This window comes from Homo sapiens, chromosome 7, assembly GCF_000001405.40.
Source record: "Homo sapiens chromosome 7, GRCh38.p14 Primary Assembly".
Classification (NCBI taxonomy): Eukaryota; Metazoa; Chordata; class Mammalia; order Primates; family Hominidae; genus Homo; species Homo sapiens.
The window spans coordinates 121380920-121397861 of NC_000007.14; the positions used below are offsets into that span (position 1 = coordinate 121380920).

General features: G+C 37.8%; 1 protein-coding gene across 9 annotated transcripts in view, besides 6 other annotated features; it reads right to left on the bottom strand.

The window, feature by feature from the left end:
* Nucleotides 1-15477, bottom strand: part of FAM3C (FAM3 metabolism regulating signaling molecule C) — a 47519-nt gene extending 32042 nt beyond the window's left edge. Inside the window, exons 1-3 of one of the 9 annotated variants that reach the window (XM_011515736.3) lie at nucleotides 15243-15389; nucleotides 11949-12008; nucleotides 2038-2091 (exon numbers count right to left, since the gene is read on the bottom strand). In XM_011515736.3, coding sequence (XP_011514038.1) covers nucleotides 2038-2050 — 13 coding nt within the window. In that variant the 5' untranslated portion in view covers nucleotides 2051-2091; nucleotides 11949-12008; nucleotides 15243-15389. Of the gene's footprint in view, nucleotides 1-2037; nucleotides 2092-4483; nucleotides 10443-11948; nucleotides 12009-14030; nucleotides 14553-14769; nucleotides 15103-15205 lie in introns of those variants that run through there. The other 8 variants (XM_011515737.3, XM_047419775.1, NM_001040020.2 and 5 more) reach the window with 8 other exon arrangements.
* Nucleotides 4381-4578: a silencer, noted in NCBI's record as "fragment chr7:121025354-121025551 (GRCh37/hg19 assembly coordinates)". NCBI's record gives its function as "represses an EF-1alpha promoter that drives an FKBP-Casp9 reporter gene in an ReSE screen in HepG2 liver carcinoma cells {active_cell/tissue: HepG2}" and the evidence as "EXISTENCE:reporter gene assay evidence [ECO:0000049][PMID:32094911]".
* Nucleotides 14426-15011: an enhancer, noted in NCBI's record as "NANOG-H3K27ac hESC enhancer chr7:121035399-121035984 (GRCh37/hg19 assembly coordinates)". NCBI's record gives its function as "activates a minimal SCP1, AML or CMV promoter by ChIP-STARR-seq in primed H9 embryonic stem cells {active_cell/tissue: H9 hESC(primed)}" and the evidence as "EXISTENCE:reporter gene assay evidence [ECO:0000049][PMID:30033119]".
* Nucleotides 14426-15653: a biological region, named in NCBI's record as "hESC enhancers GRCh37_chr7:121035399-121035984 and GRCh37_chr7:121035985-121036569".
* Nucleotides 14824-15653: a silencer, noted in NCBI's record as "silent region_18575". NCBI's record gives its function as "represses an Ori minimal core promoter by ATAC-STARR-seq in GM12878 lymphoblastoid cells {active_cell/tissue: GM12878}" and the evidence as "EXISTENCE:reporter gene assay evidence [ECO:0000049][PMID:35858748]".
* Nucleotides 15012-15596: an enhancer, noted in NCBI's record as "H3K27ac hESC enhancer chr7:121035985-121036569 (GRCh37/hg19 assembly coordinates)". NCBI's record gives its function as "activates a minimal SCP1, AML or CMV promoter by ChIP-STARR-seq in primed H9 embryonic stem cells {active_cell/tissue: H9 hESC(primed)}" and the evidence as "EXISTENCE:reporter gene assay evidence [ECO:0000049][PMID:30033119]".
* Nucleotides 15694-15753: a silencer, noted in NCBI's record as "silent region_18576". NCBI's record gives its function as "represses an Ori minimal core promoter by ATAC-STARR-seq in GM12878 lymphoblastoid cells {active_cell/tissue: GM12878}" and the evidence as "EXISTENCE:reporter gene assay evidence [ECO:0000049][PMID:35858748]".

The window sequence follows — 16942 nt, forward strand, 5'->3', positions numbered from 1 at the left end:
GGCAACATTGAGTCTTAAACCAAGACCTGTTCACTTACACTGAACCATCAGAGGAACTAGGAGGAAAGAAAAGCTCTAAGGCAGACAAAAGTTAGAGGTGGAGAAACTAGCAGTCTCCATGGGGTTAGAGTTCTGGAACTTCTGTTACAGAGATCGCCCCCAAAGCTGGCCTGACTCCAGGACCAGCATCCCATTCTGGACTTGATGGGGCCTAACATACCAACCACAATTCCCATTCTTAGCTTTCCATAAGATTCCCTCTTCCTCCTAGTCACAGACTGCACTAATATCAGTGTGCTCCAGTTTTTCACAAGCCAAGAAGTACAAACTTCAGACATTCATGCCTCACTGTAAGAAGAATGGCTATGAGGATATTTCAAAGCAATCAGATTTTTTTAAAAAAATTAGAAGAGATTAATTAGTTAAAAGCAATAAATTAATAGCTAATTGTCCTTATTCATTCATTCAAGGCAGTTCCCTCAAGACCTATACTAGGAACAGTGCCAAACACAAAATAAGCACTCAGTGAATAATTACTCATCAATTAACCTGGGAATTGTCAGAACCAGAGAAATGGACTAAATGACAAAGTTAATTTCAAATAACATGAATTTAAAATTATGTGAGAAAGAGAAACTTACTTTATTTCAAATTGCCATGCTTAAATAATGTACTTTAAAAATCATCTGGAGACATGACATCATAAATAGTAAGTCCTGCTGTACTCAAAGAACATCCACACACACACACACACACACACACACACACACACGCATGCAACATAAAAAGACATTGCAACACATTTATTTAGACCACAAACAAGTTCTTCGTTTCTGAGAATATTTTTCTTGAACAATTGTACCGTTACTTTTTTTAAAATTGCTTTATAATTTCACAAGAGATTCAGTTTTTCAAGTTTCTACAAAAGCATTTGTAACAGCCCTCAGTTATCTTTGTTTAATAATCATGATGTTTAATCAATTGCGCCTGATTCTACACAATTATGACCACAGTATGAAGACTGGTTTGTTCACCCAGCTTGACTTTAGGCATTTCTAAGAGATGCTCCCTTAGGAAAATAATTGGTTTGCTGCTGAGATGACAATTAAGAAAAAGACTAATTATCTTGATTTTGAGAAATTACAAGTTACCTATGTTGGGCACACGCTTAGTAGAAATTTCCATGTAAAGTATGCATTTCTTCTAGGGCTTTGGTTGATGGGAAGGGTGGGGAAAAACAGACTTATTTTTACTACACAGGAAGAGGTCATCAGCCCCTCCAGTTATTTATAAACGTGTCTTTTTAGAATATTTAAATATAACTACCTTAATATTATGAACATCTAATGGTGTTTTTCAATTTTCTCAATATGCTGCTTAATAAACAGATTAAAGTTCTTACACATAAACTCACCTATGCAGATTAAACTTGAACAAATACTGAGCAAAAACACATATTTTATCGAATCCTTCACACACATCTTAATTTAAGTACATACATATGAGACATTTAAACTTTAAAACTTTATAACTCATTTTTCTCAAGACGCTAGAACATAGCAAAAACAAAAATCAGCCTCCCTAGGTTGTCAAACCATTCTTTATATGGGCATTATATACAGTCTTTAGGTTTTTTTTTTTTTTTTTTCAGATTTTAGAATATTTGCATCATACTTACCAGCTGAACTTCCCAAATCTGAAAATCTGAAACCTAAATACTCAAATGAGCATTTCCTTTGAGCATCATGTGTTGCTGCTCATAAAGTTTTAGATTTTGGAGCATTTCAGATCTTCAGATTTAAGAAGCTCAATGTGTAATTTCAACAAAAGACTTGAACAAAAAAAAAAATTTATGTGATACTGACTAAATGTCCAATTTGTGATTTGCCAACTACCTAAAAACAAAGGGCTGAATGATTTAGTTTATTTCAGTTTAACCTTCTCAATATAAAGATTATTTAACCTCTCCTTTAGTTATTCTTTAACAAACAGGTTACACAAAAAGTACAATTACTTCTACTAAATTAAATATCTTACCTGCTACCCTCATGTTTGGTTTTTCAGTTTATGGCACTTTTCATTAATATGCTCCTAAAAAATCAAAACAAAAAGCAAATATCATTAGCTCTAGAGCAAACATTCCTCCTTAGATTGAGTTTGAAATGGGGCATATAAACTAGTAAATTTTATGACATTTCTAAGTATTATGCCAACATTGGCATTAAAAAAAAAAAAAATGGGCCTGTCTTCCACTGGACCATAAGACCTCAAGGAGGGTCTGTCTTACCCTGCTGTGTCTTCAGCTAACTGAATGACCAAAGAGTAAAAGTGTGTTATCAAGCTTGTGAATAGAAGAGAATGCCTTCTTATTCTCATGGATTATGCATCTATAAGAAACTTTTGATATTTAGCTCCAAACCTTCAGTTTGCAGATGATGTCCAAAGAGGTTAAGCTGCTTATCTAGTTGTGGAACAAATTATTTGTAGACATGGGGCTGGAATTGAGGTCAGCTGGCTCACTCCAGTACATGATGCCACTTCATTTTTGATATGACATAATTCAAGTGCCACTACCATAAGCATTTACAGCAAGGGCTTCCGATTTCAATACCAGGGACCTCTTCATGTTTTTCGATTTAAGTTTGTAAAATAATATGTTAAGAAGTACAGAACTGCAATTTTAAATATCCCAGCAATTATCATGATTGACAGAGTAATGTTAATACATCAAATGGATCAACTGTTCTTTGATATTACTGTAAGATCAACAGGAAACAGATGCTGGAAAAAAATCTGTATGTGCATGGGTGTTTTCCTCCTAAGAAATAACTCAAAATAGGTGACATTTTGAAAAGAAAATGAAAAAATAAGTAAGTTTAATAAGAAAGCCACATTCAAGTTTAGCTGGAGAGCTTCCACAGTCAACTCAACCTATTGTAAAGGAATGGAATTCAAAAGGAAATTTTGATGGATGAATCCCATTTGCCAGCAGTACATATCTATTTTAGATTGTATTTTGATATTTATGTTTCAATATTGTTGCCTGATCTAGTAATTCACAGAATGTGTCAAGAAAATAGTAATAATGGCACATCTCTGAAGGACACTGAAAAGAAGTGAGACATGCACTTTTTTTATTCACTGGACTAGGCAGGTGGGCTTCAGCAGGGTTCTGGGGGGCGGGGGAGTCTGGACAGCTCCCAAAAGTCCAATGCTCTTAGGCTAGCTCTCTTTCTTCTGCACAACATACCCTAAAGAAAAAACAACACTTAAACTGAGTTGTGTGTCATTGATTTCCTTTGTTAATTATCTGAACAGCTTCCACGTAATAGAAAAAGTCAATGTTATATATCTATTTCAACTACCTAGCCACAGGCTAGGAAAATACTAAAAGGAAACAAGATACTGAAGTATCCACAAACCATCACATAAAAGCAGAAAAAAACCTCCGCTTTTTAAATGAAAACCCCAACTGGTTATAAATCCTCTGTTGGCTTCTGGCAAAACTGAACTCAGCTTTCATAACATATACATGCTTTTCCTGCCAGCTAATTTTCCAAAATAACTTCACTCTTATCTGAGTGTGACCTAGGAAAATTTCTTTGAAAGTGTGATAAGCAGTTACGCACCAGGTACTTGATGTTCTATTTCACTGTTTCCATGGCCTGCTCAGGCCACACCTTGCAGTGGATGCTGCATGTACCTGCCACCCATTTGTATCTCCCAACAAACCTGTTTCTAAACTCATCCCTAAGACCACAATATAAGCAATGATGATTGTCTAGCTGAATACAACTGTTTTCCATTAAAATGTCTCAGAGAATTCACATTTAGTAAAATTTCTAAATTAAAATCTCATCAAATTAAATCTCAGCCATAACATGCCTCAATTAATTTCCTTAAGAAGCAAATTAATGATTCAAGAATCTACATCAGGATAGGAGTATTGAATATATTTGAGAGCAAATCAAGGAGCATCTATGTATGATGATAATGTGCTAATTCTAAATCATTCCTATTTGTCTTCTTAGAGGGGGCATGTAAAAGCAAAGAAAATATTTACATACAATTATCTTGTATGGGTGAGGGAAGCAAAAACTTAATGGAAACTTCAGGCTGAAAACCATCAATAATTAAACAAGGATTGAACAGGTCCAGAGAAAAGGAGCACAATAGTAAAGGGAGAAAAAGGCCTTTGCTAGAAATTCAGAACTCTAAATCTAGAGGCAACAGGCGAAAGGGCTTATATATAAGTATGTTCATTAAAAGGTAGAAATATAGATATTAGAGCCACTTACCAAAACCAGAAAATGAGTCACAGAAGGATATTTTTAGGATGGAAAAAAAACCCCAAAACTCAACTTAGTACATTTATACATTTGCTCCAAAAAGTGTTACATAGGCCAAAATTTGTTTTAGTGTTTTTGATAAATATATGTCACTGAACCAAATCCAGTTGCTAATATGTAAGGTTCATAATCACCTGAGATTCAACAGCAAGGACAGCCACCACAATGTCGCTGGACAATGAAACACTGCAGCTGGAAAGAGCGCCTGAACTAGGGCCTCAGATGGACGTACTAAACTTCTTTACATGGTTGACAATTTAAACATTCCTTTGGCCCCACTATCTACTCTGATCTAATTTAGTGAAGTTTTATTACTCAGGTAGAAATCAAGCTACTATGTGAATAAGGAGTCATTGTTCTAGAATAAATTAACTTCAGGAACAACAGAGTAAAATCAAAGGTCAAGTGATACTTCCATTATTTCCTTGGGAAGTGGACTAAATCACATAAACCACAGAAACATCACTCTATATTGACAAAATTGTCATAAAAAATTATTTACCAGGAGGGGGATTTCTTGCCAGTTAACATAAACCAAGTATGAATACATACTTATGTCAGTGCAATTCACACACACCCTTATTTTATGTAATCTTCCCACCAGCCTCTAGTTGCTGGGGGCATTAAAACAGCAGCATATATGAGATCAGGGGATTTCTCTAGGGTCACATGAAGGGTAAGTAAGAAGCTCACGCTACAAACAAATCCACTTCCTTTTCACTCCAGCTGTTCACTGACACACTCTAATATAAGAGGCTTGTTGACAAAATGTCATGCCAATCAACTTGGCTTTTGCAAACTGCTTTGGGAATTGCTACAAACTACCCACTCCAGCAATTCAACAGTATGGCAAAATGACTAAGCTTGGGTATTGGAACCCCTCCTTGAAATGGAAATGATACAAGAAAATTAAACGTACAAATACACCCTTTGATGTACCTACTTAATATTAACAAACAGCACTTAATTAAACCACAGGAAAATACCACAAGTTATCCTCTACAAATAGAGAAACTATCATTCAATTCAATCCTACTTCAACTCAGTGCTGGACAAATGACAATTTTAACCCAACCAACTTAGAAAGTTCCCATGATTCTAATAATAAGGGATTCTAATAAGTAAGGGAGAATTCGCCTTCTTTGCCTATCTTTAAACTGAGACAATGCCTTCAGACTCAGACCAGACTATACCATTCATTCTCCTGGACTGTCAGAGCTTGCCAACTTGTCAGATCTTGGACTTCTCAGCATTCATAATCTCATGAGCCAATCCCTTATAATAAACATATACACACACACACACAAACACGCACATACAAATCATATACCTGTATATAAATGAAGCTATCTCCACATGTATTATAAGGAATATATGTCTATATATCTAGAGCTATATCTATACATACACACACACACGCACACATATATATATATATATATATGTAATTGGTTCTGTTTTTCTATAGAACTCAGACTAATACAGACCCCCTCAAGAACAGAATGTAAAAAATTAAATTTTTATCCCCAGAGCATTTAAAGTAAAAGAGAAAAATGAGATAATACTAAAATCAAAAGAATGCTACAACTCAAAGAGTCACTAGGGTAGGTTACTCCGATGTTGCATTTACAAACAAAAGCATGGTATTTTTTAAAAAATACTGTGTTTGCTATAAATAACTACTTTTATGTGAGTAAAACAGGGCAACTGTTGGCAAACTCTTTCTATAAAAGGGCCAGATGGTAAATATTTTTAGGCTTTATGGACCATACAATCTCTACTGCAATTACGCCACTCTGCAGTTGTAGCTAGAAAGCAACCATAGCCAACATGTGAACGAATGAGTCTAATTATATTCTAATAAAGCTTTCTTTATAGACACTGAAATTTAAATTTCATAAAATGTTCATGTGTCACAAAATTATTCTTTTGATTTTTTTTCAACCCACTTAAAAATGTGAAAACCAGTTTTGGCTTGTGGGCCATACAGGCCTAGGGGTTGTACTTTGTCAACCCCTAATAAAAAGAAATAAAAATATAAAATTTAAAAATAAAGGAATAAACATCTTTCCCAACCAGGCTCTAACAGTCCAACTTTTTTTGCTGGGCTACGTGTAGGACATACAACTTCCACATGGCTTTGACAGGTCCTCTTAGAAGTACTACTACAGATGTAGGACAGATGAAACAATCCTAATTTCTGTGCTCCACACGTGTTCATCAAACATTTTCATAATCTGCTCTCCACAGAAAGAAGCATAATTCCATGAGAAACAACAGAATGGATCCTCTTCAAAAGGAAGAAAAAAGTCCTTCCCATCCTGTAGATGAAGCTATCCATCTATAGCAAAGGTGGAAACAAATCTAGATGCTGTTATGTTTCCAAACCAATCCCAGGAAATGTAAAGAAACCAATAAAAATTAATCTCACTATATTACACTTCAGTAACTATAAAAATTATGTTCTTGGGAAAAAACTTACATTACTATTTCCTTTATGTGGGTGTTTATATGGGATTATTTTTATGATAGGTTTAAAAAAAGAGTGAAGTAAATGTGCATCTAATGCTTAACAAACTTCTAAAATTCCAAATATTTAGCTTTAAAAAACCTTGTCTTTAATAACAAGTTATTACTATTGCACATGCAGACGGCTGTCAAGTACCCTGTCTCCCCTGAATGCAACTATACACACATCTTTGCAAAGCTGGCTACATTTTTGAAATAACAAAATGGAAAGGAATAAGATGACTGCATTCATTTGAAAAAATATTAACATTTAAAAACTCAGTAGGATATCTGAGCTGCTATCATTGTGTTAGAAATATTGTAAATTTAACAAAATTTGGTGTTTTTAACACTAAAGGCTTGAAAGAAAAATCTAGTTACTAACTTGAGAAAGTATTTAATACTAGCAGGATACCGAATCCTAGAAGGTACACTCTTTTAAAAGAAACCACCATTTTAACACACACACACACACACACACACACTCACACACTCCTGTTGTACAGCTTCAGAGGTGGGTATGACTTGATCACAAATAAAGGGAGATTTTTACATGACTACCAGCAACTAGAAAAGTATCCCAGATTTTTAAAGAATCAAGCTAAACTCACATTTTGAAAAGGGAAAAAAAGGAACAAAAACAAAATTGGGGGTGTGGGGAGAGGTGATCCATATGAATTCTATAATACTAGGAATGACAAATTTTTCAAAAGATCACCAATGATTATGATGTAAATGTATCCACTCCTTCTGCAAAGTGTCCCCCAAAAAGCAACAGACCAAAAACTTATAAACAATGGGTCAAGTGAACCAATAAGAGTTTTAAAATAAATGTTTAATGTTCTATTGAAAATCTTGGGAAAAGAATACAGATGATCTATGCCTAGATTTTTGACAGTTTTCTGAATCAACATCATCTGGCTTTTCTTATTTTCTTAAGTAGCATCATATTGAAATTACATTTAAAAGAGAACATCTAAATGTGGCTAAGAAACAGAAATAGAATTAGAAGTATACTATGGAAAAGCACAAATGAGCCAGAAAGTGTTTTTAAATTTCCCCTAGAATGTTAACCAATGCCAGATATGAAGCAAATTGGGATTATACTAGGCAAGTTCAGCTTTCCTCCACAATCCACCATAAACTGCTCTACCTTGTTTTTCATTTGGCGCTCCTGACAGTGAATGGAGAAAAACACTTCGGAAAACTTCTATCTACAGCAATTTAGATAAAACTCCATTCTTCTAAGAATGAAATTGGTAAAATATAATACCTGCTTCTCCCTCCACTTAAAAACAGGTTAGCAAAAGTGCTCAGCTAAATCATGAAAGTGCCCCATCTAGGCCAACTTTTACCCAAAGACTTAGTGTAGGGAGAGGCAGCCAAGCCTGACAGGCCATACACACTACATTCTGAGAACATAAGTATTCCAACATGATTCATCTCAATGTTAAGAATTTCATAGTACAACCCCCTTAAATCAATGTGAATTAGCTAAAGAGACCTACAGTTATTCTTTTCAGAAATCTGGTATTTAGTGGATCAACAAGTATTTAACCATGTCTTCCAAAAACACTTCAAGGAGCTAAAAACTAAATGGATCTGAGCTCTTCTGCTCCTCTATACCCAAATATAACATGGCTAGGCAACTTTTTCCTAAAAAAGATATTTTGTTTTCCAAGCTACTACTACTGAAGGAAGCACCTTAAGCAGGTGGGGTTGCTCTTCACTGAATTCTCATTAATGGGGAAAGATTTGTTCTAACCTACAGATAAGCCCTCATTCAGTACCCAATATGCCACTACAGCATTTCTGAGTTGGCAGCCAGAGTTCAGGTTTACACTGACACAGATTTGGTGTTTACCCCAAATATTGCCATTACATCCTACCACTACTCAGTACAAGATGCTATGCGGCTGGTATATATGTGTATAATCACCTAGCTGGCATTAATGAGGGCTGTGGACTCTCTAACAGGAAAGTGGCAAAAAAAAAAAAAGGTAGACATCAAATGATTATGCCACACCTTACTATTTCAGTGGACTATAATTACAAAACAGGAATCACTGAAGTACAAGGAGGATAGAAATCAGACTTCTGAACTGAGCCAGCAACATCTAAATGACTGGAAATGAGTAGGATGAAATTAATATGGGGCCAAACTGGAGTCTATTACACCCCCATATACACCTAAGTTGCATTTTAAAACAAAGTCATCAGTACAATTTTCATTACAAATAGATGTCAACTAAGGACACCTTATATAAACTCCTCATTGCAATCAAATAATTTATATGGTAAAAGATCTGAAGAACTGTTGCTTTGTAATTTTTTAAAATCTCATATCTGCTATGCTTCATAATAACCTGTTAAGATAATAAGAGGAACCTCTGGTTGCCAGGCACTTAATACCCTATTTATTTTAACTAAACTCATTTTGCATCTTGCTTCCCTCATTTTAACTAAACTCAGGATAAGGCTTACAACCACATTTTTATTTCTTAGTAGTGAAACCACCATTGCAAAATTATAACTGAAATGGTGAAAAAGATCTGACCTAACCAACTCCATCTTGCTTCTAACCTCCAGGTTGTCCTTGTTCATTCCTGGGCATAGGCCATAACTTTGGGAGGAACTTAGTTTATAGTTTAAAACAAAGATGGTAACAGCCCTTTCCCAAAACAAACCTCCTTCTTGCCTGGGGACTAGACTGCCTTTGTAGGACTAACAAATTAGCCACAAGATTGGAAATTAGGGCTTAGGAGTCATGCAGCTGAAAGCTACCAGATTCTGACCCTTACCATCTGTGGCGTCATAGATTCAATGAAACATCATATGTTCTTTGAACCTCTTACTACAGGGTTACCTATAGCATGCACACCAGAATTACTAGTGTGTTTTTTAAAATGCAAACTCCTGAGCCAACTGCATACCTGGAGAATCAGAATCCCTAGGAGTGGGATTAAAGCTCTTGCATGTTTAATAAGCTCCCCAGATGACTGTCATTCGTGCTCAGATCTGAGAGCTTCAGATCTACAGCACACCAATCCACACACACAGGAAAGGCTGTGTGGGGCGGGGGGGGGGGGGGGGGGGAAGGTAAGGCAGATCTAAACCAAAAAAGTTCAAAAGTAAAATTCACATGACAAGATTTTTCATTCTTTCTGGAACAGTCAACCTGCCACCAGAATGGGTCTTCAGTTTTGGTGGGCAACAGATAAATCCAGAGAAAATGTGGTGAGGAATAAATAATCAAGAACTCCTGTTTGCAGGGGTTAAACCAGAGTACTAGATTTAATATTACTCAAATGTTTTCTTGCAGTTTTTATTATCTACCAAAGCAGAATTTTGCTTAAAAAGTTATAATCCACTTAACGAAATGAAATGGTGACTGGATTTCTGCAACCAAGACCACAAACATACCCAAAACAGAAAACAAGACAGAACTCTACAAAATGACATTCAGTTTTGCCTGCTATGAGTTCTACAATTGTTTAAACACTTGTGATCTAAGCTACCTTAATCCTATAGTACACCATCCAGGGAGAGATGGATAGATGAATGAATGGATGGACAGAAAGAAATAGCTATTCTTAGAAACAATGACAACAATAAAATGAAATATATTAACTGTTAGAGGTTGAACATAAATGGGGTAATGAAGTGTCCCACTCATAAACTGCTAAAATGAGATTAGAGAAAGGTACACATTTACATACAGTAGAACTGCTATCTTCATCTCATGTAACTATCTCACATTGTACTAGATGAGAAGTTATAGGTTCCTGTTCTACGTGTTTAAGAATTCCCTTAGGTATCCACTCTACTTATGCTGTTTTGAAGTAGTCTGCAGAATTTAAGTGCACCAGGGTAGACATAATTCCATCAGTCACACCCTCCAAATGAAGACATGGAGAAACAGAATGGTTCCATCGCCCAAGGGTCCTGGATGAAATGCAGTATTGGCACACCATTTGTACCACAAAAACTGAATGAGAATTAGCACTGCTGAAGTAAATTAAAATGGAAACCATGCCTGAAGAATCCCCGAGCAGACAAAACCAATTAGGCCTCATAAGTGACATCAACCTCACTTGATTTGCAAACATAAGCAAAATATGAAGTTACTTCTTATAAATGCCTATGCTAAAGAAAAAGAGAACTTAAGCTTAATCAATCAGAAACATCCAACAAACTTCTAATTACATATCTAGGGGACCTTCCAACACGACAGACCAAATAAAACAACTGTATAACTGCAGCCAATCAAATATTTTCTTTGCTTTACATCTGTGACCCTCCTATAAAAGCCTCCCTCCTGGATTCCCCTGGTGGAGCTCCCAGATCTGGTTTGGAGCTGCTCAATTCATGAATTGTTTGTTCAAATAAACTCTAAAGATGCTTCTATTGTAAAATTTTGTGAAAACGTATTGTATTAGTCCGTTTTTGCACTGTTATAAAGAAATACCCAAGACTGGGTAACCTATAAAGGAAAGAAGTTTAACTGACTCACAGTCCCACATGGCTGGGGAGGTGTCAGGAAACTTACAATCATGGAGGAAGGCTAAGGGGAAACAGACACCTTTTTCACAAGGCAGCAGGAGAGAGAAGAGAGAGAGTGCAGGAAAAACTTCCATTTGTAAAACCATCAGATCTTGTAAGAACTCACTGTCACGAGAACAACATGGGGGAAGCCGCCCTCATGATGCAATCACTTCCCTCCCTCGACACACAGGGATTACAATTTGAGATGAGATTTGAGTGGGGACGCAGAACCAAACCACACCACGTATCAACTGAACCAACTTAAAAATCCATTTTTGTTGACCTTGCGTCTTTCAAAACTCATTTAACAATCACTTAACTGCAAGTAATGAATGATATGTTAGGTAGCACACCTGACACCATAACACTACCTTAGCAAGCCTTGTAGAGATTATGACGAAAATCAATTTAGAGATGTTCATATAACTTTCTGAATAGCACACAAAAATTTAACAAATGAATAAACAAAATGCAGTACGTATCAACGAAATGATATATATGTAATGTGGTGTATATGAATGGAATATAGAATGGAATATTACTCACCCTTAAAAAGGAATGAAGTACTGATACCTGCTGATTTAGAGGACGAACCTCTAAAACATGCTAAGTGAAAGAAGCCAGACACAAAAGAACACATATTGAATTATTCAATTTTTAGGAAAATCCAGAATAGATAAATTTATGGGGGCAGAAAGCAGATCAGTGGTTGCCGAGGATTGGCAGGGAGAAGGGAATGAACAACTGCTTAATGAATATGGGGTTTCCTTTTGGGGTGATGAAAATGTTTTAGAAACGTGACGGTTCATAACATCATGAACGTGCTAAATGCCACACTTTAAAATGGAAAATCTGGCTAGGCATAGGGGCTCATGTCTGTAATCCCAGAGCTTTGGGAGGCTGAGGTCGAAGGATCACCTGAGGGCAGATTTGGCCAGCCTGTGCAAAATAGTAAGATCCCGTCTTTTAAGAAAAAAAATTATAAAATTAGTCGTGTGTGGTGGCACATGCCTGTAAACCTAGCTACTCCACAGGCTAAGGTGGAGTTCAAGGCTACAGTGAGTTATGATCACACCACTGCACTCCAGTCTGCAGAACAGTGGGGTACCCTGTCTTTGTAAATAATTTAAAAATAAAATGAAAAATTCTGTTACAGGAATTTAATTTAAAAAAGAAAATTGGAAGAAAAAACTCACTGAAGTTAGAAAAATCATGAATAGCGGATTTTCAAAATTAGATTAAAAATAAGGGAAATATAAGAATAGCTTCAATCAAATGGAGCAGGCCAATGAAGAAGAAAAAGAATATTAATGGGTACACTGGAAAGACTTAGGGGTATTACAACACTTAATTTCCTCCTCTGAGAGGAAGTCAGCCGATTGTGTCTCAAAGAATTGCATTAAAAGAAAGTACAAAACCTTTTAAAAGTTCAAAGATTTTGGGAAATTACCTGGTTCAGTCTACTCAATCAGATTAAAAAGGACTGCATGATATTAAGTAATTTAGTCAATGCCACTCTTGAAATAACTAAATACAGAATCAATGCTTCAAATCCTGATCATCTGATCCCAAGAACAGAGACGCTTCTGGACTAAATTCAAGACAAACTTTTGCTATTATACCAAGGTCGCACAAAAATCTATCTAGCTCAGCGCTAACATAAAAATCTTTTGCTATTTGGGTCTTGCACCTTTCAGCTTTAAGAAATGGGCATAAAAATAAAAATAAAAAAGATTCCCTGCTTTAGAGAAAATAAAGTAGCTTTGTGAGTGCCCAGGCTGTCTTATTCATAGTATCCATGATATCTACAATTACTGGTACATGGTAGGCACTCCAGTATTTTTAAGAGTATAAAAATTTTTGAAAAATGAATCGTTCAAAACCTAAAATATATGGTGGAAAATATATGAGTCTTCTGATACCCCCTCAGGGAACATTACTTTTTGCCATTCCATAGCCTCTTAGCCTTTTGGCTGTCTTTTCCAATTTCCTTTTCCTTTTTAATGTATCTTCATAAATTATGAAAGATTAGTTGACAATGCTTAAGGCAGCAATCCACATTAAAAATCTGTAATTGTAATAAAACATCCATTAAGTTTATTTTTAAAGTCACTTTAAGCCAGTAGTGTCTTATTTTTACTCCCTTTTGAAACAGAAGCCCCTTACAATGAGGATTTTGAGGAACCTGTCCTGTGTCCCTCTTACAAAGTTCCCATTGGTAATTCAGAGAGGTCCTCAGGTTGAGAACTGCTGGACTGAACTCCTTTTATTGGCTCCAACTCTTCTTATTTCTTCCTATGAAGAAATGCTAGTCTTTATTGAGTTGAGAAAACATTACAAGAATCTGTGAAACAAAGCTTCTAATACCTGTATAAAACTGAAAACCTTGTGACTTTATTGGTAAACAGCCAAGAAACACAAGAGACTACTAGTAGCCTCTAGAAAGAGGTACAGGTCGATGAAGTGACCAAAACCGGATGCTGATTTGCTGATTCTGCCAATTTCTTGTTAAATGGCTTTCAGTAAGTGATTAACTTTTATTTTCTAAATTCAATAGAGATCTGCTGGTACTCTGTAAGATACTGTATGACTAATAGTAACGGTTCCCAAGACTTAAGAAAACGTAACTGCAAATTGGCCACAAGTCCAAGGGGTCGGGGCCTCTGCTATCAGCATTGACCTTTACTCTCGGGAGTTCATATTTCCATCTGTAAAACTAGAAAAGATAAAGGGACTTATTCACTGAGCTGTTGTGAGAATAAATGAGCACACGAAACCATTTGGCAGTGCCTAGTACACAGTAAGCAATCTAATATTATTTATGTCATTGTATCCATATATATATGGATACATACATATATATGGATACATGGATACATACATATATACGGATACATACATATATATGGATACATACATACATATATATGGATACATACATATATATGGATACATACATATATATGGATACATACATATATATGGATACATACATACATATATATATATGGATACATACACCTGGCTAATTTTTTTATTTTTTAGTAGAGACGAGGTTTCACCATGTTGGCCAAAAAGAAACAAAGGAAAAGTCCTATCAATTAGATAGCAGTTCTATATTACAGGCAATAATATTTTTTCTTAAAAAAAAAAAAGGTAGAGGATGATGGAAACCGCTCCTCCCACAAGTAAAACAGCTGGAGCTCTCAATCTCAAATTGCCAATCCGTCACTCACATATTCAGATCTAGGGCCACTAATCATCATCCGTGGTCCCGAGCTGTGAGAGCAGTAGCAAACAAATAGGAAGAAAAAGAAGAGACACCAAACATCAAAGGGCTGGATAGCTTGTAAAAAACCAAAAGTACCTCTAGTATAGGCGACACTAAAACTTTACAAGTGAGTCAAAACGGCCCCCTATGGAGTTGGAATGCAACACCCAACTCCGTCCCCACCTCTCGGAGCTCTCAGCCTACACGCTGCAGGGGCGCGAGCCACAGCCAACCTGGGGAAGATGCGACCCAGGTGCCCGCCCCAGGCCGGGGCGCCGAGTGCCAGCGCCAGGTGCAGACGCCGCCCCGTCTCCGCGGAGCCCGGGGATGCCCACGCCGGGGCGGCGGCCGGGAACCCCGGCCAGCGGCTCTCCGGGACCCCAGTCCCGCCTGCGCCCTCTCCAACGTCCGGACACGCCGTGACAACGCGGCCGGGCCCGGGGCCCGCCCCCGGCCGGTGACCGCAGTGCGCGGAGGCTGAAGTCGTAGGTGGGCGTCTGGCTTCCCCGGCCTCCTCCATCCCTCCCCGAACCTGAGCCCCGGCTCCGTCCGCCTCCCAGCCGTCTCACCGGCCTCCCGCCCGCCTCTCCGCCGCGCGCGCCCGCCTTCCGGCCTCCCAGCGCTCAGTCCTGCCGGAGGCCGACGGGAGCCGCCGCCTCCAGCTCGCGCCTCCGCTTCCTCTCGGACTCCTCCGGCTGCCCCTCACCCCGGCAAGTGGCCAGGAGAAAGCCAGCTCGCCGCTGGGCCTCCTCCCACGCTTCCCGGCCGCGACCAATGGGCCCCCGCCGCCGGGAAGCCGCGCCCGCCCCCTGGCGGTGGAGGACCAAGCGGGCGCCCGGGCCGGCCAGAGGGAAGGGCCGGAGAGCGGAGGGAGGGGTCTGCGGTCCCGCCCACCGCCCCCGGCCAGGCGCTGCACAATCTGAACTTGCCACGTGGGAGCTGCCGCCGCCGCAGCGGCCCTGCGCCGGGTGGCACTACGGGAGGGAGAAAAATGTGTCACCGCCGTCTCCCCACCGTTTACACGCACAAAATCCCAGCCTCAAGGGCAGAACATTTTAAATGACCCACCCATCCTAGAGATGCGCCAGTTAGGTCATCTTATATATCTTGAGATAGCTGAGATGGTCAGATCAACCAAGGACCTTGGGTTATTTGCCGTTTGACTTCTTGAACCCTAGGAAACTGATTCTGAAAATCCTACTGTCCAGCGTCATTAGAATTCTGATCACCTTTAATGCACCACCCAAGAAGAACAGTAGTCCTTGCATTTTCCAAGTCACGTTTATTTTTTAAATTATAAGATACACAATCGTTAGAAATATTTTTTCTCAGGAGATTTCCTACAATTGTGTTGATAATTGGGAAGTTAATCCAAATCTTACTACATAAGACCTTAGAATGCAAAATTATTTCATAATTCAGATCCATATTCTAAAATAATGAATAACTGTTACCTAGTATTTGACAGAATATTGGGATCATCAGTGGTTGCAGAAATTAAATTGCATTTAAAAATAGGGTTTGACTATAGTGTGTTAATATAGAATTAATAATCTACCAAATTTTAGCTTTCCTCCAAAAATATAAAACACACAAACTAATAGTAACTATGAATTCTGGAGTTTGTGATCCGTGATCAGGGGAGAAAGCATGAAATGAATTCTCATTGTCTTCCATGTGCCAATATTATGCTATTTGTGTATTACTTAAATCAAAAAACTAAGACTCCAAAACTGAGTTTAAATATCTTGCTCAAAAATACAAGATAGTAAGTTATGAAGCTGGAATTCCGGCCTAGCTTCATGTAGCTCCAAATAAACAAAAAGGCACTTTGCTTATTATAGTACCAAAAAATCATAACACTTACTGTACACATGCCTCTCCTAGACTGCTATGTCTCACTGAAAGAGTTTATGAAGCCTCTTGAGTAGGGAGGTCACGGTGTATTTCTGAAAGAGCAATCTGCTCTGTAACCGAGCCAACCAGATTGGAAATTACATGTGACATATTCTTATAGCACCACACCTGAAACAATTCCTGTGCATAAAGTTTAATGTGTTAGTAGCCTATTCTCCACTGACCATAAGATATAGCTTAGAACCCTTTGGTAGGTAATGAAATTAATAACAATGGGTCACAACCAACATTTTGTTGCTGTTGATTCACTGAAAAATAGAAAAAAAAAACAGTTCAAAGCATAAATTCAGGATAAGTATTCTTCATGAAACATTTGTACAGCATCATGTGTGGGTGAGTGTCTGTGTGTCTA